A 21,770-nucleotide genomic window follows, 5' to 3' on the forward strand; every position below is an offset into this window, starting at 1 on the left:
ATCAAAAGCTTATGATGACATCGAGGGGAGATTAAGATTCACGCACAAAGCAGGGGCTCACAAAATTGAGTAAGATCAAGGGTCAGTAATAGGGTGAGGAGGGCAAGAGGCTGAGTTCATTCGGCTGCAGAAAGGCAGGACTTGAGCTGGTCTTTGCAGGTTGGATGGGACCTGGACAACAGAGGAAAGGGAAGCGTGGCAGGTGGGCCAGGGAACTCACACAGGGGGTGTGCTTGGCTGTGAGGCAGTGGCAGCCTGGACTGGCTGGAGAAAAGGTTCAGATTTGAAAGTAGTGGGGGATTAGGTAAGATTGGTAGGGTCAGGCTGATTATGAAGGGGAAGAATGGAAGCTAAGAAATATCAATTTTGTCTTTTAGGCCCTGGCAAGCCATTGTAGACTTTTGAGCAGAGGAGAAACACCATAAACAAGTCGATGAATTATTTTAGCTTCCAAAGAGCCCCTCTCTTTCTAGAGGATTGGCATCTGGTGTCTTTGAGATCAGCCTCATTGCCTTGGTGAAACTTGAGCCTTTCCCTGGGATGACAGTTGAATTTAACAGCCGATCAAGCATCATCAGGGAATGAGATCAGAGAATGTCACACTGTCAGGTCCAGCCCCTTGTTTATAGATGGCAATGGTGAAAACCAATAATGATGAGGAGGAAACAGAATTTAAACCGGTGGCATGCTTCATCCAACATCACAGAGCAAATGTGTGATGAAGCTGGTCCTGGCTGCCACACCTCCATAGCTCACCCCCGCCAGCAGGGAGGTGAAGCCTGAGGATTCACAAACATCAGCTATTAGGGACTGCTGGCGTGTCCGTGTAGGCAAACCACACTTTCATCACCGCACTCACGGAAGAAGAGGCCCTTGGTGGGCTCCAGAGTGAGAACAGATGCTTTTTTAGGCTCTTGGGCCAACTGGGACAAAAAAGCTTGGTGTTTTATGCTCCTGAGATAGATACCAGAGTGGGGGTAACCTTCCCAGAGTGGACAGGGGACAAGTCTTTAGTTTGGGTCTCTGGCCACAGATTCCAGAGGCTCGGTCTTCACTTATCCAACTCATCTGCAAAAAGCCTAAGCACAAGTTGGCAAAACAGGCAAAGGTGATCTGTGGGGAAGCCAGCCCATGTCCATAGACGGGTCCAGTAGAATGAACTTGGATAGGCAGAGAGAGGCCTGTGGGAGCTACAGTGCTGGAGGTGGGGAGGTCGTGAGGACAGAGGAACTTTATCTTCAGTGTGAAGCTCTTGCTTCCTTTCTTGTTCCCTGAACCATCCGGGTCATTGGGTCACACAGCCCCGTGTCTTCCCATCCTTCCATTTCTCTCTGACTTTCTGTCTGCATCTGTGGCTTGGCCCTGCCTGCTGTGCTGCTTATTAGCTTTCAGAGAGGAAGAGCTCTGCATGGTGACAAAAAGGAGATTGTTGGGTCCCTCTGCCTGCAATCTAGAAAGGGGCACACAGCTTGAGTGTGGAGGGCAAGAGGAGGGTTGGAGACTGGGAGGATGGCCGCGGCCATCAGGGGTCTCCTCCTCCCTGCAGTCCTGGCTCTCTGTCATGTGAGTGGTCCCCCTTGTGCTTGGTGGAATTGCTGGCAGTGACAGGAAGGAGATTACAGACTGTATTTATGCCTTGTAGCTTTCTGTAGGCTGTTGGGAAACAAATGGAACTCGGCAGTTGTCAGTTCTGGGAAGGAGAATTCCAAGTGTATTGTAGCCCTGAAGCGGTGCCCTGTGTGAGGGCATGCTGGTGTCACCTCTGATCGTCCTTCCTCTCTCAAATGTGTGTTTTATTCCCTGAGTGGAGAACAGGGTCAGCTTCTTTCCCTAATATTGGAGTGATTCCTCTCTGAGTTGTAGCTCCTCTGTGTCGTCTTGGGGTGGGGGCAGCAGAGGCTCAGCTAGAGCAGAAAGACAAGGAACACATGGCTATGGCAGGATGTCGAAGGGAGCCCTGGAACCCCAGCACCAGGAGGGACACAATGAAAGAGACAGAGGCTGGAGGCCACACCAGGCAGGCAGGGCTTCCTCCCCTCCCCAGCCCTGACCCTGGCCCTGAGCCCTGCTCTGGCCATTGTGGGATCTGGAGGCTGACAGTCAGAAGCAGCATCACACACACATTGTAGGTGGCAATTATTTCTTTACCTTCTATTTTGCCCACTAGACTGTAAACACCTAGAAGACAGGGAGAGAGCGGGGGAGAGAGAGAGAAAGAGAGAGAGTGAGTGAGAGAGAGAGAGAGAGTGAGTGAGAGAGAAAGAGAGACAGAGACAGAGACAGATAGTATGTGTGTTGTGTCTTTGATGCCCAGGCCCCAGCACAAGGTAGATTCTTAATATATGGGGACTAAATTGAAGCAATTTGTACCTTCCCAGGTACAGGGCAGGAAGGAGTAGTAAAAAGCTACCAAAGAACAGATCTGTCATTTACCAAGTCAGCCTCAGACACCCGGAAAAGGCTGATGTTAGCAAAGCTCCCAGGATTGGCCCACCCCACCACTCAGGGCACAGCCGCCTCTGCCTCTCCTTCCGGGAGTGCAACATTAATTTAGCACTTACTACTGCAGGCACTCTCTTTGGATTGGTAAGAAATAGAAGGGCAAAGAGAAGCAGAGAGCTTGGGAGAACAAAATGTCTGGAGTCAGAAGACACGCCACTTGCTGGCTGTTTTCTTAGGCAAGCCCTGTGCTTGACTTTCCTAAGCCTCATTTTCCACATCTACAAAATAAGAGCAACTACCTGGCAAGGGAAAGGCATCTCTCATACGCTGCTGATAGGATGTAAATGGGTATGACCTTCCTGCAAGTAATTTGTAAAAATTCCTTAAGACGAACACACCTTTGGACTTGGCAATTCCACATCCAGAAACTTATCCTAAGAAAATGATCAAGTCTGGAGCAAGAGTCCACTGCAAGAATAGTCATTATGTGTTTATAATAGCAAAAACTGGAAATAATCTAAACAACAAATGTGAAGAATTTGTCTGAGTAATTATAGTATACCCATAAATGGAATGCCATAATCATTAAAATTATAATATATTTTCCTCCTACATGAAAAGGTGTTTATGATATGTTGTTAAATACAAAAGGCTATTTAGTGAACAGTATGAAAATATGATACTGCTTTTAAAAAAGAAGCATTTTACTCCAAATATTAACTGTAGCTTATATTTGTATTGTAGGATTGCTACTAACTTAACATTTTTCCTCTTATTTGTCTATTTTTTACAAGAAGCATTTGCTATTTTTTAAAGGTAACAAAATCATCATATTAAAATACCTACTTTTAAAGGTTGTTTTAAGAGTTAAAGAAGATATTACACATGAAAGTACTTTGTGAACTGAAAAAATTATACAGATTTAAGATAGGACTTCTGCCCATGAGAAGCTTATAGTTTGGAAGGAGATGAAAGATATCTAAGATAACCATAGCATGAGACAGGATGTGACTAGAGCTTTCAGAGAATGACAAGCAGCATGTTATTTGGAAGCACAGAGGAGGAAAAATTACTTCTGGCTGTGGAGGTAGCAGCCAGAATGTTTGCATGAACACTGAGGAATGGTTCAGGTAGAAATATCTGATCAGACAGAAATATAGAATCGGGCATTGAGGGGAGTGGGAAGTTGTGGACGGGTTTGGAGAATGGCAAGTGTTGTGAGTGGTTGGAGAGTAGAGAGCCATGGTGCAGGGTGGAAGATGAGTCTAGAAAGGCAGTCGGGGCCAGCTGCTTTTTCGACAATGAGCAGATGTGTGTTGAAGGCCTTCTCTGAGCAGGAAGTCGTTGTACTTCTGGAGGACGTGGTGCCACAGCTGTAAGCCCATCACAGGTGTGAGGCACTCACGGCTGTGTCGGCAGTGCCTGGCATGGATGAGACCTTGAAGAGCATGAATGAAGTCACCTGTCCCGGTAGCTCTGCCTGGAAGCAGCAGTGCAGGGGTGCGCTGTGGGGCCGATGGTGGGAAGGAGGAGCATGGAGGGGAGAAGGGCCCTTTGTAGCTTGTGCAGCTGGGGATAGAAAGGAGGGAAGATATCTTCAGCCCTGATTGGAAGAGGATGAGAAGTGGGATAGTGATGGGGGAGTGAAAAGGAGATGAGGCTTGGAGGAGGGAGGAATCACGCATATCTCCCAGGTTTGCTGCTGGGGTGGCCGCAGAACCGGGAGTCGGTCACAGAGTTCACAGACGAGGTCACATGGAGGAGAAGCCTGGTGCCAGGAACAAGCTAGGAGTAACTGGACCACGATGACGCCTGTGAGCTGGTCCTGATCTCTTGGGCTCTTCCCAGGGGCTGCCCAGGGCAGGCAATGGCTGGTATCTCTTATGTCCTCTTGGAAGGAGCCTGGGGTGCAAAGAAGGGAGGGGTTTTTGTTTTAATCCAGAGAGCTTTTGTTAATGGAAATTCACAAACCACCCTGCTTATCCTTGCTTCCTTCAGCTCATCCCACCTCCCAGCACCCTTGGCTTCCTCTCTTCTGCCACCAGGAATTCAAACCTCCCTCAGGATCCCAGATGCTGTCTCTCTGCCACCCTCACCTCCCAGCAGTGCACACACACAAACACACATACACATACACACACACACCAGAAGGGAGGTGAGAAAGTCTCATTGTTTAGGCAAATGTCTAAATTTCCACCACCCCTTGCAGCTCCCGGCCTGGCCCACTGTTTAGCTCCTCCTGTTGTCATGTCACTGGTTAATTACATTCTTTACTGAGGTGCAAATGTGTTTTTACAGGGAGAGTAAGATGGTGTTAACTAGGAAGGAACTGTTGATGTTAAAGATGCATTTACCTCTGGCGTAGGGCAGGCCCTCCTGGCCAGCGGTTCTCCCGATGCTGCTCTGAAAGTGCCGCCCAGGCCTCAGAGCAGCCCCCTCCCCCGACCCTGCCATCCTGGCTCCAAGCACAGCCTCACTGAAGTCCAATTAGCAACTCATCCACAAGGAGAAATTGATGGGACTGTTTGAGGAGTGTCCGGCCAGACCTTATGGCCGTGCTGACCACCCAGCCTCCATTTGCCAATGCCGTGGTCCATTTCAAATATTGAGAAACAAAATTAATTCACTTTAATCTAAAAATAAAAATAAGTCATGCAGCCAAAGCCAGCTTGAGGCCACAGGTTAGCCTTTACTGCTAAGTGCTGCTTTAGGCCCATTCCCCTCCGACTCTTCCTCCCTGCTGCCCTGGACACCTCCCCACCCACCCTAACCCCTCAGTGTCTCTCCAGACCCCAGTCGAAGCCCACTGTCATTTGGATCTGCAACTTATCCACACTCCTGGCAAATCTACCACTGTCCCCCCTTCCTCTGAGTTTCCCCACAGCCTTAATACAAGATGTCAGCTGTGGTCTTCCCAGCACCGCAGAAATCACTCACAGGCACCTGTCCACACTTGGGGGAGAGGGCCGCAGGCACTCCTGGTTCAGGAAGCCAGATGGACAACAATAGGGCGTGTTCAACAGTGACCAGGGCCTGGCTACAGTGGCTCCATGGGCCTCAGTGACCACATTGAGAGAGAGTTGAATGGCAAATACAGGAGAAATGGCTGCAAGGGAAATTACAGAATAGAGGACATCCTGGAGAGGCCTGGAGAGGGGAGAACACAGCCCGGAAGCCCCTCCTCTCTGACCACCCCTGCACTTCTTGCCTTCCCTGCTGAGAGCTGCTCTACCCTTTTTTGCAGGTGCTTTGGCTCTAGCAGACAGGAAGAAATTCTGGCCCAGCTGGAAGTAGAAAGAGGGGAGTGAGTCTCCTGAGGACCATCTCAGAGGCCCCGGGATCACCCGAACAGTAAGAAATGCTCTTCTGTCGTTTAACATACAGTTACACCCCCCAAGCAGGATATCTTTTCTTCTGAAGGCCTCTAGAACGAGCTCAGAACATGAGCTGACACTTAACATGAACGACCTTGAAAGCCAATCATTGTGTGATTATTCTCATGTCTTCATGTCACCTCCTTAGCTCCTTGAGGAGGAGGGCTGGGCCTTATTCCTGTCTCTTTTCATCTATTCTGTGAACAATAAATGGTTCTGTGAACAATAAATGGTGGTTGATACAGATGGGTGGGGCCTTGCTTAGTATCAAGATGATGATCACATTTGTACCGCCCTCTGGAGCAAACATTATCACCCATGAATGACCTGGTGGTGGCGGGGTGGGGTGGGGGGTTCCTTAAAAATGCAGTTCCAGGACCCCAAAGCCAAAGCTTCTGATGCTTTGAGTCAGGATTAGGACTCAGGAACCTGCACCCCAAATCTTTTTGATGCATGGAAACTGCATTCCAGGTGTTTCTGATGAACTCTGAGAAATGGTTCTTTTGAATGTATAAAGCATTTTGAATAGAGAATCTCATTTAATCCTCTTATCTGATAGGGTTTTTTAAATCCCCTTAAGTAACTTCATGATCCCACAGACGTAAGTATCAATATAGGCAGGCATGTAGAAATCCGGTTATCCGAAACAACCCTTTTTTCTTTCCAGTATGCCATGATAAGGGCTGGATCTGTTATGGTGAGATTGGGCCCCAACTCCAAAGGACCTTGCCCAGGATTTTGTAAGTTTCCCTGATGTCTTAGGGCCACCATGATTTTACAGTTCATCAGTCTCCATTTTGGCAGCAGAAATCATCGCCAAATTCCTCACAAAGCTGGTTTCCCTGCAGAGAGGGAACGAGGGAGAGTTAATCACAAAGATGAATGTCCCTTTGCCCAGCTCTCCAAGCAGCTAGTTAGTCTATTTAGAGGTCCACATGTCTGAGGACAGACTGGCAACAATGCTCGTCCTTCTTCCTGTCTGGGGAGCTCTGTGTTCTAGGTACAATGAGGGGTGGGTGGCATGGGAGAGCTGTGGCTCCTCGCGGTGGAAGCTGAGGGCAAGGTATCTATGCAGGTCAAGTCTTCGCTGAGTGTGGGTTGGGCGATGCCCGTTTCGGGGGCAAGTTGAGCCTTTTCAACATTTGGAGTCTGTGTAGCAGAGTGATGTCACAAGGAGTTCACTGTAGACAGCAGCTGTGGGCAGGGATTGAAGAAGATGGGAAGAAGGTACAAAAAGGGACAAGGGTTCTACACCTGGTGAATCCGTGTGAAGTGTGCTGATGCCCAAGTTCAGTGGCTTTCTCTGGGACTGAGAATAGAACTGAGGCTCTTCCTGCTGAACTCTCCTGTAGAGTCCTATTTCTCTGCAGGCTGAGGCTGTGGATGCTGGAGTCCAAACAAGCCAGTCTGAGCCTGGGAGAATGGAGGTGTTCCTGCCATCACCTGCATGGTAGAATATGGGTAACAGGGTTGATGGACTGCTAATCCTGCTGTGAATTATGTCTTCCTGTAGAATGGAAGGCTTCCACAGATGGGGTAGAGGCAACCTCAAATATCACCCCTGACCTTTGCCCTCTCAGTCCCAAGACACACACACACATACACACACACACACACACACACACACACACACTAACCACTGAACCGTCTTGCCAAGTGAGTGGCAGTATGGTCTGTTCTAGGTACTAAATACAGTTGACACTATTGCTTGGATGGGTGCAACTGGCAAGGACAATTTTTGCAGCTAATGCTGGAAGTGTGGCAATCAGAGAAGCTGCCAGCTGTCTCACTTAAATTCTTAGCTCTCTCGCTCTCTTTTTTTAAAATCGTTTTGCTTACATAATCCACCCCCTTTTTATTTTCTAATTCTCTCCTTGCAAAGCTGGCACCAGAGGGGAAGGGCTGGGGTGGAGGGGGTAGCAATTACACATCGGTTTGGGGAGCATTTACATTTTGCAATTACAATTTAAAAATAAGTCTCGTTAATGATCTCCACGTGTAAACGACAAACCCTAACTGACATATATACTCTCCTGGGCCTGCCTGCCTCCCCCAGAGTCAGGGCTCAGTGGAGGCAGAGGTGCCTAGGAAGACATAGGAGGAGGCTGGGGGCCAGTGTCTGAGGGGTGGCAAGAGCAGGTCATATGCCTTTGAGGTTGGTACAGGACAGATTCGGGACTGAAACCTTGGAAATCAAGAGTTCTGGACTCCAGCTCCTTCTCTTCCCTGCACTCATGCTAGGTCCTAGCCCATCTTCTTCTGAGCCTGGTACTGTAGGAACTCTGCTAGGGAGAAAGGGAGCCCCAAATGCTGATATCCTCTGAGGTGGGGATTTTCAAAGTCCTGTTGGGCAAACATAAACCTTAGTTCTCAAGAGCCAGCCAGTGTGCCTGGATAGTCATGGATTGGGTAAAGGAGCTGATTCCATACTCAGGGTTCAGGAAGGGAACAGCATTTGTTTTATCCCCATTTAGGAGAGACATATCTCCTCTTCTCAGTTGGTGAACACGTAGTTATTGGAGTCCTCTGGTTCCTTGAGGAAACTTAGGCTTTGGAACCAGACCAACCTAGACTCCAATTCTAGCTCTGCCATTTGCTGCCTGTGAGATTTGGGGCAAGTTACGTAACTTAAGTTTTCGTTTTTTTTTTTTTTTCTTTTCATTTTTTTGAGACAGGGTCTCACTCTGTCACCCAGGCTAGAGTGCAGTGGCACAGTCTCAGCTCACTGCAACCTCTGCCTTCCAGGCCCAAGTGATCCTCCTGCCTCAGTCTCCTGAGTAGCTGGGGCAACAGGTGCACACCTCCATGCTGGACTGATTTTTGTATTTTTTTTTTTAAAGAGATAGTGTTTTCCCATGTTCTCCAGCCTGGTCTCTAACTCCTGAGTCCAAGTAATCTGCCTGCCTCGGCCTCCCAAAGTGCTGTGATTACAGGCATGAGCCACTGCGCCCAGACACTTAAGTTTTCTTACCATCATTGTCTTTCTGTAATTGTGGTAATCATATTTACCTCATGGGGCTTCTGTGCAGATTAAATGAGAGAATGCACAAGAATGCACCTCACACAATGTCTGGTGCATCAGAAATGCTCAGAAAATGCCAGTTCCTGTGCAAGCCCCTCCCCTTGAGCCCCAAAGCGGCACCTTCTACTTTATTAAAACTGCTTCTTTCCCACTACCATGGACACTAGGGAAGGGCGATGTGGTCTGATTTGTGCAGGCCTCCCCTCAAAGTCAAGCCGTCTGCATTCTGAGCAGCTCCTGAACGGGCCCCCTCTGAACTCCCTGTAGGATTCTCTCTCTGCAGGCCATGGTTTCAGGCTCCCAGGTCAGCCTTCAGCTTGTCTGCTGTTTCCTGACTCTGGCTGTTCACAAAGCCCAGTTCTGTCTTTTCTGGACATCATAATCCAACCGCATGACCTTTTATTGGCCACTGCCCCTCTCTGGGCCCCACATGTGTTCCTTCTCTGTGAATGAGGGAGGAGGACTAGAGGCTCTCCGAGGAGTCTTTCAGGCCTGACATCCTGTAGTCCTTGGATTCTCACTCCCCTCTCTGCTTCCCTCCACGAGATATTTGTGTAGAAAGCTGTTCATCTCTTGTGCAGTTTCATCCAGGCCAGTCTTTGGACTGAGCACTTATAGTCAAGAACTTAGAGTTGTTACTTGAAATATGCACAAAATAGTTCTTATCTACTGCAAAAAGAGGTATTAATTTTAAAAAATTAGCCAGGCATGGTGATGCACACCTGTAGTTCCAGCTACTCAGGAGGCTGAGGAGGGAGGATTGCTTGAGGCCAGTAGGTTGAGGCTGCAGTGAGCTATGATTGCTCCACTGTACTCCAGCCTGGGTGACAGAGGGAGACTCCTGTCTCTAAAAAACAAACAAGCAAGCAAATAAGAGGCATGCATCTTGCAAAGGGAAGAGGTCCCAAGCAGGCCAGATGGCCCAGGGCAGAGGACATGGAAGTGGGTGCGTGGTCAGAAAGCTCCTTGAAGGTAGGGACTACATGTTACCGGTTTTGCTGTTTATTATAACACAGTTAAATGTTATGTTTTAAATATTGTTCTAAAAACTTGCTTTTTAAACATAGGTTATATGATTGATAGCTTTCTGGGTCAAAACAAATAGATCTACTCCATTACTTTTAACTGCTGCATAGTTTTCTATTATATAGATGCATAATTATTTATTTATTGTAGTTATTTTTTAAATTAGAAGTATGTGTGAGAGGAAAAAGCAAACAGTGTAAAAGATACAAAATAAAAACTCTCCCTTCCTACCCTCACCTCTCCCCACAAGGCTCATGATCCAAAGTCAACCACAACAGCTTCTGGCCTTAGTTATTTGATGGCCAACATTTATTATATTAGATAATATGCTTCAGCCCTTTTTTCTCAGTTTATCTATTTATCTATTAACTGTCTGCTATGAAAGTTGAGGAAATTAGCACACATCCTTCCCCTCCAATTTGTATTACTTTGATAAGTTTTTATCAAATTACATTTGATATTATCTATTTTTAGTTCATAGCATTATATGTACTATATAACATATATACACCATATATAATATATCCTATATATTAATATAAGTATAAATCTTCTAAATCTTAATAATGTAACATAATAGTAATAGACTAAATAACACATACCATATAGCATTATAGATACTATAAAGATTATGTATTATATAGTGTAGCACTACATATTATATATAATATGTAATGTATACTCTGTAGTATATTCTCTATATAATATAGTATATAGCATTATATATCATACATAATACTGTATACTACATGATATATAATATATAATACTATACACTATATTATATAGTATACTATATAATATATGCAGTATTTTAAAATCACATATAATAGTATAATATACATTATATAATATGTAATATTATATGTTAGTATATATAATCATATGAGGTATATTATGTGCTATGTACTATAATACATATGTATGCTGTGTACTATAATATATAATTATATATGATATATAGGATCTATAGTATGCCATATACTTTTATACTGTATATAATATACTGTATATAGTACTACATATTATATTTTGCATAATAATAAGTTATCTATGATTTTTACATTGTTAAGATTTAGAAGATTTATACTGTTACATTGCTGTAGTTTACCTCTGCATTCTATAGGTGATTATAAGATGGAAATCTGTTTAAAAGCATTAAAACCACTGTGGGCATGGCAATATATTCAACCACAGAACTAAGCAGTGTGAATGGCCTGTGGAAGGGTCGTTACAACGTGGCTGCTGTGGAAGAACCTTCTGAGCCCTGTGGTGTCATGACTGGTGCCCTGAGCAGCCACTCTTTCTTGTTCAGTGTTCTCCGCCTCTTCGGATTTCTTCGTTTGCTGGGCTACAACCTCTAGTTATTTTTTATATCAACGAGTGGGAAATAAACTCCAAGTTCTCACATGTCCAACACTGGCTTTGTCTTCATACTTGACTGATAATCGGACTGCGCTCAGAATCCCAGGTTCAAAACCTTTTTCTCCTAGAACTTGCTGACATGGCTGCACCATCTCCTTGTTTCCGATCTTGCAATGAGGATCCATGGGAACATGTGGTTCTCTCTTCTTTTCCCATTAAAGTTCTGATTTCACCACCATGTGTTGGGGCTTGAAGTTTGCTTTCTGTTCTCCTTTCTTAGCGCTGGGATCTTTTAAGTCTGAAGTCACCTGTCTGCTTCAGCACAGGGAAATCTCCATTTTGCTACGACTTCATTTCTTTTCCTTTGTCGTCTGTTTTCTCCTTCTGGGACATCCATTGCCCTGCACAGTGCCTGACACAGAATAGGTGCTCAGTAAATGAGGCCTGGATTTGCTACTTGGGACCTGGGTTCTAATTAGGGCCCTATCTCCAACTTGCTGCATGGACTTGGGCAAGTTTCCTTATTTGTCTCGGGAAGAAGTCAGACCTCATGATGACTCAGGACCCTTCCACCTCTGTTGGTTGTCTGACAGTCTGCCCTAGTGCCTGGAGTTCCCACTGCTTCCAGAATTGGAGAAGAAGCGTTCATTTCCTGAGGAGTGAAGAAAAGGCTGAGGCTGGGTTTCAGGTCAGCCGCAGCAGCTGGCTTCTCACTGTGGACAGCTCCTTTGGACCCTCCATCTCCCCAGCATCCGCTCTCTGTCCCCCTTGGGGAGCTCTCTGCCTGACCTTCCCCATCATTCTGAAATGGGCTTCCTCACCTCCCTGTCTCCCTCTGCCCATCTTCCCTACTCCCCACACTTCCCCAGCTCACACACACACAGCTTCTGCTAGTGAAATCATCCCTGACCGTGGCAAGTGCCTCATTAAGTGAGCTCTTTTTCTCACGTTTATGAACTGCAGGACAAAGAGACAGCAGACTGCTCTTCCCAGTGCCACAAAGCACAGGCTCTCACTGGAGACAGCCAGGCCCTAAACAGAGAAGAAAGCTCCGAGGGGGGCTGAAGACAGCAAGGATCGTCCCCAGCCCCAGGCAAACTTGTGCCCTTGGGGAGTCATCTTAGAAGAGTAGCCCCGTTTCCTTCTCCTTCCCATCCCAGAGCCTGGCTCTGGGAGCAGACATCTCACATGCAGCACCCTGCCTGCTCCGATCAACCTACTCTGGACAGAACCTCCTGATCTGGAAGTAGAGACACTTTGTTCCTTTTCCCTGGACAGGCTTGACCCTGGAAGACCCAGACTAACAAATGCTCAGATCCCAGGGGATTAGTAACCGTTCTAAGCATCCTAATTGGTCCCTGAGGACCAGAGTCCACTGTGCAAAATTGCCTTCTTCTCCTCCTCTTCTTCCACTCCCTGGTCCTTGCCCTAGCATGAGAGATGATGTCCATCTCACTGGAGAAAGAAGAGGGCAAAGTGAAGGCATGATCTTGAACATCGAGACTACAAGGATTCTGTGCTAAAGGCAGGACTCTTTCTTTCCACCCAGACCATAATGATAGGAAATGGGTTGCGTTGCGCAAGTCAGAATTAAGCTTCACTGCGAGTTATAATTTTCAGACCCATTCCTAGTATTCAAAGACTCTGCTGCTAATATGAAACACTCCTCCTCTGTGTCTGAGAGCAGCTGAAAGGGCCAGCACATGACTAAAGTTTTCCCTCTTAGGAGCCAGAAAACCATAGCCCCTTTCCAAGGCTGGAGGTTGAAGGGGACGGGACCTGGCAGAGAACAACCCGAGCCAGTGGGAGGTAGAACACAGCTCCGTCCTCGCACTTCTGTTTAATAGCTGCCTGCCTCAGAGGATGTGGGTAATAACCCTGCTGCTGGCTCACTGGCTGCCCATTCAGACTGCTGCCTGGAATCTCTCTGGGCTGAGAGCGGAAGAGAAGACTCTGAAGTGAACAGGAAGGGGCTTCTTTGGCAATCTTGGACTCAGGGAGATATGACAAGAGAGGGGATGCTCCCTAACGATGGGGTGCCCTGACTTGAAAACACTAATACTGCTCCACTGGACACGCTTTCCCAAGATACAGCCAGCTGCCTCTTAGCCTGTGCGTCATGGACAGATTTCATTCCAGAACAGGGACTTCTTTACAGCTGTGGGTGGTCCCTGGAAAGCCAAGGGTGTGTGGGGAAAGGCCAAGTGGAGACCGTCACAGAGAGCAGGCTGACTGCATGCCCCCTTCTACCCCACTTCACTCCTCCTGGGCCCCAGCAGGGCCCCTCAGTCCAGTATGACAAGACAGAGACACTGACAGAATCCCAGTAATGTGATTCAGAGCCCTGGCCCCAGAGCCGCCAAGAGCAGGGTGAGGCACAGACAGCCTGGCTTTCGTATGTGCCCCATGCGTTCCCGGAGCTCTGCTCCCAGACAGCTACGACACATTATCAGATTCCAATTATACATCGCCTTTGAGATGCAGTCTTCAGCCATACATTTCCATCATTTTGTGTTCTTTAATTTTGTTCCTTCTCCTCCTAATTGAACACACAGTCCAATGAGTCCACGATGAAGACTCAAGATTTGCCGCTTTCAGCTCGCTTAACGTTTTCCATCTTCGTCTCAGTCGTATTATGTTTATGAGACCCCTACTTCTTATCGCTGGGATCAGCACTTTCATTTTCCCATCTCCTGCTCATTTTTATAAAATAATAAGAGCAAAATGCAATGAAATATTTAACAAAATGTGTACACACACTGCTGTAGCAGGATGACAGGGCTGATGGAAGGAACTTCCCTACCGTGGGAAGGCACAGAGTGTGTGTCCATTAACTGATGTACAAAAGCCCAGGCTCGGCAACACAGAAGACATTTAGTGGTGTCAGTATAACATGATGCTTGGAAAATCAGGGCATAGGAAAGTCAAAGGACAGCCAGTATTCGAGGGCCCAACTCTAAACTGGCAGCTTGGTTTTATAATCAGCCTCACCTTTTCTGCACTTCTCCAGTTTCTAGGAGTCTCAGTCCTTCCCTGCTATTTCCTGCCCTCACCCTGAGACTTCCAGTTAAACCTGCAGACTCTGGGATCAGACTGTGTGTAACATCTGGAAACTTCCTCAAAGCCCCGGTTTGCTCACCCACGAATGGGAACAACCGTAATGCCGACACCATCTGGTTGTTAAGGAAAAGAGACCAGGTGACCCGTATCTACTGTTAGTGTCATGCCTGGGGCACAGGGACGGCTCAGTAAGTGGCAGTTGTTATTAATTCTATATTATCATCTCACCCACATCCAAATTGGCTCCAGAAACTAACCAACTTATTCTCACTGTTGTGTAAATGGCTGCTGGGACTCAAAGGGTTATGCTTCTTGGATTGGCTTGTTTTACATTTTAAGAGCAAGCCAGGCCAGGCGCGGTGGCTCACGCCCGTAATCCCAGCACTTTGGGAGGCCGAAGTGGGTGGATCACAAGGCCAGGAGTTTGAGACCAGCCTGGTCAACATGGTGAAACTCCATCTCTACTAAAAATACAAAAATTAGCCAGGCGTGGTGGCAGGCACCTGTAGTCCCAGATACTCCGGAGACTGAGGTGGGAGAATCGCTTGAACCCGGAAGGCAGAGGTTGCAGTGAGCCAAGATCACACCACTGCACTCCAGCCTGGGTGACAGAGTAAGACTCCATCTCAAAAAAAAAAAAAAAAAAAAAAAGTAAGCCGGCCAGGCACAGTGACTAATGTCTATAATCCCAGAACTTTGGAAGGCCGAGGCAGGCAGATCACATCAAGAGACCGAGACCAGCCTGGCCAGCATGGTGAAACCCCTCTTTACTAAAAATACAAAAATTAGCTGGGTGTGGTGGTGCACGCCTGTAGTCCCAGCTACTCGGGAGGCTGGGGCAGGAGAATCGCTTGAACCCGGGAGGCAGAGGTTGCAGTAAGCCGAGATCGTGCCACTGCACTGCACTCCAGCTTGGTGACAGAGCAAGATTCCGTCTCAAAAAAAAAAAAAGGAAAGAAAAAAAGGAGTTAAGCCAAAGAAATTAAACTATAACCATGTATATATATTGAGGCTCCATAAGGAGGTAGACTTTGTGCAGTCATATTGTATAGGCTGCCCCTTCTCCCCCAGTGAACATGCAAGGCAGAGCCATGATCTTGTCTGCTGGGGGGAACAGGGGCCAGTGGGCAAGATGGGACATGCGGGTGAGGAGCAGATTTTCCATAACACAGAAACATGCATGATGATTATTCCCGCCTTGATTTCCCACGTGTAGTCCTGGAGTGGAAGGGGAAGAAAGGCTTCATGGAACAGTAGGCTTTGGAGCCAAGTGTTGATGAAGGGAACGGCATGGCTGTGAAATACAGAACACCTTGGTAGCGGACAAGAAACACAGCAAAAGGCACGAGAGCATCTTAGGTTGGGCGACGGAGGGAGTATCTGCTGGGGTGCGAGTCTGTGTGGCCGCGCCACGTCCTCTCGCATCATGGCTGTCATCTTCCCTTCCCCAGGGCTGGCTTTCCTGAAGCTCAGGAACACAGAGCCAGTGTACCCGCCCTCCTTCCAAGGGGGTGGTGAGGACCAAGGGTGGGGCAGCCTGGCTGGGCAGCCTTTCCTCCTCTAGCCGATCCCATTGCCATGGGCTCTATTTAGAGCTCTTGTTTCTTGTGAGCTCTGCCTGGGCCACCAGGAAGGTGCAGGAAGGGCACACGTTGGCTGGGTATGAGCGTCTCAGGAACTAGTGGCTTTTCAATGATAAATTGAATGCACAGAGCCACTTGCTTCCACAACTCTGACTCTTGACTTTTTTTTTTTTTTCCTAAAGGCAAGTTTTAAAATTTGGAACAAGGTATCATCTAGCCAGAGGACACAGTACAGTCCTCAGAGAGAAAAGGGGCCTGGCTGACCCTTTTAGCTCCGCTGGCTCCAGGAGAATCTGAGGTTGCACCAGAGGTGGAATGCGTAGGCTTCAGGGTCCCTCGCCTCCATGCCCTCCTTCCCCCACCAGCCCCTGCTCCGGCCACCCTACTCACACCTTACATGGTCCCCATGCCTGCTTTCCTCCTCCCCCCAGCTCCCAGTGAGCGTCAGGGCCCTCCTGACTGCCTCAGAGAAGAGAGACTTATGAAAGGGTGGGAGCCCGAGAGGGCTGCCGGAGGTGGCTCTGCGCTTTTCCACCTGGGATCCCAGCGCTGGAGCTGTTTGTCTGTCTCTGTTGAGTTGTGGGTCTCAGGGGCCCGGCCTGTGTTGTTTTCTCAGCTCAGTGCCTGAGCGGCTGCTGTCAGCTCTTGACAAATAATAATAAACCTGGGAATCAGGTTTGTCGAGGGGGACTTCAGTCCCAGGTTCATTTTCAGATCTGTTTCTCTGTGAGTGTGTGCAGACGAGAGAGCACATGATAGTGTCTCTGGGGGAGGGGCGGGCCGGGGCTCCCAGGTGCCCTGACACTCCACCCTAGCCACCACCGTGGAGGAGCTGGAGGGCTCTCCACTGTCCCGATCCCTGGAGCTGCTTGCATGTTGAAAAAAAAAAGGAAAATAATTGAATAAAAGGCCTCAAGCTCTCTTCTTTCCCTGGGCCTCCCCACCTCTCCCACTCTTGTTGTTTGGCTAGAGATGGAGGGGCTGGAGAGGAAAACAAAAGGGCAGAATCCGCTCTCTAGGTTAGAAGGTTCCAAGGGGGCCACAGGCTGGGGGAGGGAGTTGGCTCAGAGCACCCCAGGGCAGCAGCTGTGGCCTCCCTCCTGCCTCCATTCCTGGGGGTGAACAATAGGGGGAGGGGCTCCTGGAATGGGAGAGGTACCCTAAGTTGAACATCACTGGCAAAAGCGGGACCCAGGTGTGGTGAGTGTGAGTTTTGGGGACACAATAGTCATGGCCTCTGGGGCAGAGCAGCACCCACTTTCCAGCAGACAGGACCCACCGCAGGTCACTGCAGCCATCCCCCTGCCTCCAGGTAGGAAAAAGCGCACACCACTTCCGTGAGCAGAATGCAAGGGCTGTGCTCCCCCTTCCAGCCAGCATGCTTTTTTTTTTCTGTTTTTTGTTTTATTTTGTTTAAAGGAACCAAAGGGGGAAAAATTGCCAAGTTGTAAAGTGCTTAAAGAGGAGATGAGAATCTTCATCAAAATGCTAAAAGCTGGAGGGGAGAGTAATGTGAGAACTCTTGCCTGCTATTTATGGGATTGATTCTCAGATCAAGAAGAAGCAAGCAGTTGGATGAAAGGAATTATTGTTAAGCTCCTCGGTAGGAAGATCTAATGGACAATTGCCGCTATCAGGGGGAATTAAATTGCTGTTTCAGTTTGTAAAATATATCAGCAGCTTTTTGAAGCCAGAAAAGGTGTGACAGCGAGGCAGGGAGGGCGGTGGGGCTCCAGCACTCTTGTTCCCGGTGTGGAGAGGCGGGAGCAAGACCACGAAGAGGGCGCGGGAGCAGGGCGGGTGTTGCTCGTCTGACTCTCCTGCTCCGTGTTGTGAAGCCCAGTTAAAAAAAATAGCTGAACTGGGGACTCAAGGAGGAGAGACTGCAGGCCTGGAACTCTGGCTTCTGTGTGAGTCAGAGCGGCATGGCTGTCAGCAAAGGGCAGGACGGTGGGGCTCCTCTCTGGGAAACCTGGTCGGGCTGGAGTTCAAGGAAGGCAAGTCCTGTCCATGGAGGAGGGAGCGGCTGAGGAGGGTGATGGACCCAGTGCTGGGGCCTGTCCCCAGACACTGCTTTATCATGCTGCTTGTGTGCCCACTAATCCTCCCCATAGTGAACCATGGACACAGAGGGACCCGGCACCCTCTCCTCCAGGGTGGGTCTCTAATGTAAGCTTCTGCTCATCTCTAGGCTGGGGTCAGTGAGTGCATAAGTGATCTGTTGGCCCGACCACAGTGAGGACATATTGTTACTCCAAATAAAGAACAAACAGTAAAATGGTCTTGGGAGTGGAGACGGGAGAGGAGGTTTAGGCCCTCGGAAGTAGGGCCACAGGCCATTAGGGGGAGGCCACGCTCCTTGGGATGGAAATTGGGGGTTGGATGGGAAGGGTCTCTGGGTTTTCTGGTCTCACAGAAGGCTCTTACCATTTCCAAAGCATTCACTCCATGTGGCATTTAAGGGCTGAAGGAGGATTGAGGGAGAGAGATCTGCACATCTCTTAGGGAGTCAGAAGCAGGCAGTCCTAGCCAAAGCTCATGCTGGCTTCTGCTCTGTCCCCACTCTGTTCCCTGGACACCAGCATCGTGATATTAGGGCATGACCTGGCACCACCTCCCAAGTTGGCTTCCCAGAAGGGCAGCAAATGACAATTAGTATGGAGAGCTATGGGTGGCCAAAGCGTCTGCTTGTCTTGGTTGTCATCTTTGCCTCCCCACTGAGTATTCCAAGGAGGACCCGGAGGGGCAGTAGGGAAGCAGGTGTTCTGGCTGTGACATTCTGCAAGGACTTGGGCTCTGTGCTGGGTGCGGTGTGCCCTGGGACCTGGGTCATTGTGGAGTCGCGGCTTATTTTTGACCTCTTAGCTGGCCTTCAGGACACAGAGTGAACAAGGATGTGAGACCTGAGTGCAAATCCCACTCAGTTCCTCTGCACCTGTCCCTCCTTCAGTAACATAGATATGTACAAACTCCCTCCCTGGCTCCCAGGCCCCACTCCAAGCCTGACCTCAGCAGACTGGAGGATCTCCATTTCCCCCCATCAGCCTAGGATCAGAAAGACAGGCAGAGAGCAGCACCCACTCAGCCCCACATTCCTGCTGCCTGAATCCTCAGGGTCCCCAGCTTCCTTTCAGCACCCACAGTCCCTGGGGTGAAGAGGCAGGCGAGGGTGTTTGCTGTGCTGTAAGGTGGGGCGGGCTCTGGGGAGCTTGCCCCTCTTCCCAAATTCCTTAGTCCTCCCCTCCAGGAGCATCCACTTCTCCCTCTTTTTGAAACATTTCAACACAACAACTGATTTGGAGGTGACAAACCCCTGCTCACATGGTCAAGCCTCCCAGCCCATGGTGCATCCTCTCTCTCCATTCTGTCCTCCTCTGCCACCACAAATTGACCTCACCCTTGTCACTGCTCAGTTCTCGGTGCCAACCCCATCCACCAAGCCTCAGGGACCACCAAGCTCTGGCAGACACCCCGCCTCCAGCTTGTCACTTCTAGCCCTTACTGGGTTTTGCAGAGAGACCTGGTGCATGTGTGTGTTTCTATGTGTGTGTGCTCGCGTGCACCCACACGCCTTTGCTTCTTTAGATAAATCCACAGAGTCACATGAAATCAGTGACAGGTTGACACCGTTATTTCAAGATTCATCGCTATGAGTTGCCAGCAGAGCAGACCTAGCCAACTCCGTTCTACCAGCAACACTTTTTTTTTCCAGGCATAATTTATAGCACTGGGGTGAATTTGTTTCCAAAAGATGAATATCACACTATCAGCAACAGCTGCCTCTCATTTTTATTTGTTTTTAAATTTGACTCAAAGTCCAATTCTCCATACACATCCCAAGCTGCAAATCCTAAGGCGACTGATTACATGATTTAGTAAACAGGTTATATTATATAATGCAATTAAAGCGGGCCCTGCGACGCCACCTACAGGCCACTTCTGGGAAGGGAGCTGGGCCAGAGAAGATCATTTTGGACGCGGCGTTGGGGCTGAGGGAAAAAGAGACGGATTGCGCCAGGGTTGAGGAGGCTGCCCCAGAGGGAGATGTTGAAGCCAGCCAGGTTACTAATGCAGCTTTTCGGTCCCTCCTGCTGAGTTCACTGTGTTATTTCAGCCTCCTGCAAATCTGTCTAGACGTCAGAACCCAGGCCTGGGCAGCTGCTCAGAGGGGACGGCTTGGGGGTGGGGGTGGAGGGGTAACCTGGGGGCGTCTGGGCTGAAGGGATTGACAGCTCCTGGCTCGCTGACCTCAGGGGCCTCCTTCCCACTCTCCAACTAGATGGGAGGAAGAGAAGTCCGGTGCTGGCTGGCCTTTAGAAAGAAGCTACAATCCAACCCTTTCCGTTCCATTCAACAAGCATGTGTGCAGTGCAAATCCTGGGCAAAGGCTTCCCGAATGTTCTGGGGAAATCCCTTCATTCTGCAGTCCGAGAGGGAAAGTGACTTGTACAGATTACAGAATAAGTGGTAGATTCTACTGGATGTGGAATCCAGAATTTTTTTTACCCCAAGGCCAGGCTTAGATCATGGGAACTGAGAACTGAGGGGTGGCCCTGTGAATTCCCTCATCCAATCCCAAAGTTTACAGATGGGGAAATTGAGACCCAGACAGAGGATGTGACTTCCACAGCCCCTACCTGTCTCAAGGGAAGGAAAATCATGAACATGCTGCTTGTATGTGTCGGAGGACAGACAAGAAGCATTCCTAGCGGCCCTCATGACTGCCTCTTAGCTGCTATGGAAGGAAGGAAGGAAGGGAGGAAGGAGGGAGGGAAGAAGGGACAGGAAGGGAGGAAGGAAAGGAGGATGGAAGGGGGGAAGGAAGGGAGGAAGGAGGGGAGGAGGTCAGGGGCCAGAAGACAGGCAGACCCAGGGCCACCGTCCCCTCTATCCCTCTCTCTGAACTCCAGCACTCTTCAGATGAACGGGGCTCTGGGCCTGAAGGCTTCTAGCTTCTCCAAAGAGTTCTTCTAAGAGGGTAACATCACTGCAAAGCAATTCCTGGAGAGAAGGGACTCACTTCCCCGGGGCTGAGAAAGACACTTGACCAGAGGGAGTGGGCGGAATGGCGTGAAGGAAGAAAACAGGACTGTCAGAGTCCAGGAGGGTGGGAGTGTCCCCTCACCCTTGTCCTTGTGCCAGCCATGGGCCCCGTCTCCAGTTTGGGGCAGGTGGGTGGGACAGTGAGGGGCCAAGCGAGCTGGCCCTACTTTCCCTATCCCCCATCAATTTGTCTCAGCTAGGGTCAGGGGCCAGGAACAAATGCTGTCAGGCCAGCTGGCCAGAGAGTTCCCAATTAGACTTTGTGTCTCATCCTTAAGGCCCTGAGCCCCCAACCCCGGCACACTGGCCCAATTACTGCCTGGCAGCATTAACCCCTTTGTGCCCCAGGCCATTAATGGAATGTTAATTGGTCTAATGGGTTTCATGTCAACAAGTCCTAATGAGCTCCTTCCTAATGAGCTTGGTATTTTTTTTCTGAGCCTGTTTGTCAGCACACTGGATTTGGGGCTCCAGACTGCCGACCTGGTGGTGCAGGGCTGTGGGGAGCATGGGTTGAGGAGGCTGAGGGAGGTGGGTGCCCAGGACTGCCCATCCCATTTCCTAAAGGGGTGTGCTTTTATGACTTTGCATCCACTGATCCTGCCTCGGTGGCTCCTGGGCTCTCTAAAATGACATTTTAGTTTCTTCTGATGATATCAGAGACACAAATGATTTCTTCTTGGATGTCATTGTGGGGTCAAGTGTTGCAATAGAATTTTTCCCTCCTAGATGTCATATCATAAAGGTTTTCAGCACTGAACAAAACAAAACAAAACAAATCAAAAAGCAACCTTTCCCTGTGAGCCTGTTCGCGATGGGAAATCTCTCCATGGGAGATGCTCCTCATCTGTCCTC

General features: G+C 48.9%; 1 protein-coding gene across 28 annotated transcripts in view, besides 1 other annotated feature; it reads left to right on the forward strand.

Moving 5' to 3' along the window:
- The window catches only part of PKNOX2 (PBX/knotted 1 homeobox 2), a 268,639-nt gene that overhangs the window by 161,382 nt on the left and 85,487 nt on the right, over positions 1-21,770 (forward strand). For 20 of the 28 annotated variants that reach the window (NR_168078.1, NR_168083.1, NR_168079.1 and 17 more), the window contains one exon: positions 5,687-5,793. The exons of 4 other annotated variants lie outside the window; for them this stretch is intronic. The gene's annotated coding sequence lies outside the window, so the exon portion shown is untranslated. Of the gene's footprint in view, positions 1-5,686; positions 5,794-6,483; positions 6,557-21,770 lie in introns of all 28 variants that reach the window. 4 more of the 28 variants (NR_168082.1, NR_168080.1, NM_001382324.1 and 1 more) reach the window with 1 other exon arrangement.
- Positions 15,217-15,966: an enhancer, noted in NCBI's record as "H3K4me1 hESC enhancer chr11:125211245-125211994 (GRCh37/hg19 assembly coordinates)". NCBI's record gives its function as "activates a minimal SCP1, AML or CMV promoter by ChIP-STARR-seq in naive H9 embryonic stem cells {active_cell/tissue: H9 hESC(naive)}" and the evidence as "EXISTENCE:reporter gene assay evidence [ECO:0000049][PMID:30033119]".

The sequence above is a fragment of the Homo sapiens genome, chromosome 11, assembly GCF_000001405.40.
Source record: "Homo sapiens chromosome 11, GRCh38.p14 Primary Assembly".
NCBI lineage: Eukaryota > Metazoa > Chordata > Mammalia > Primates > Hominidae > Homo > Homo sapiens.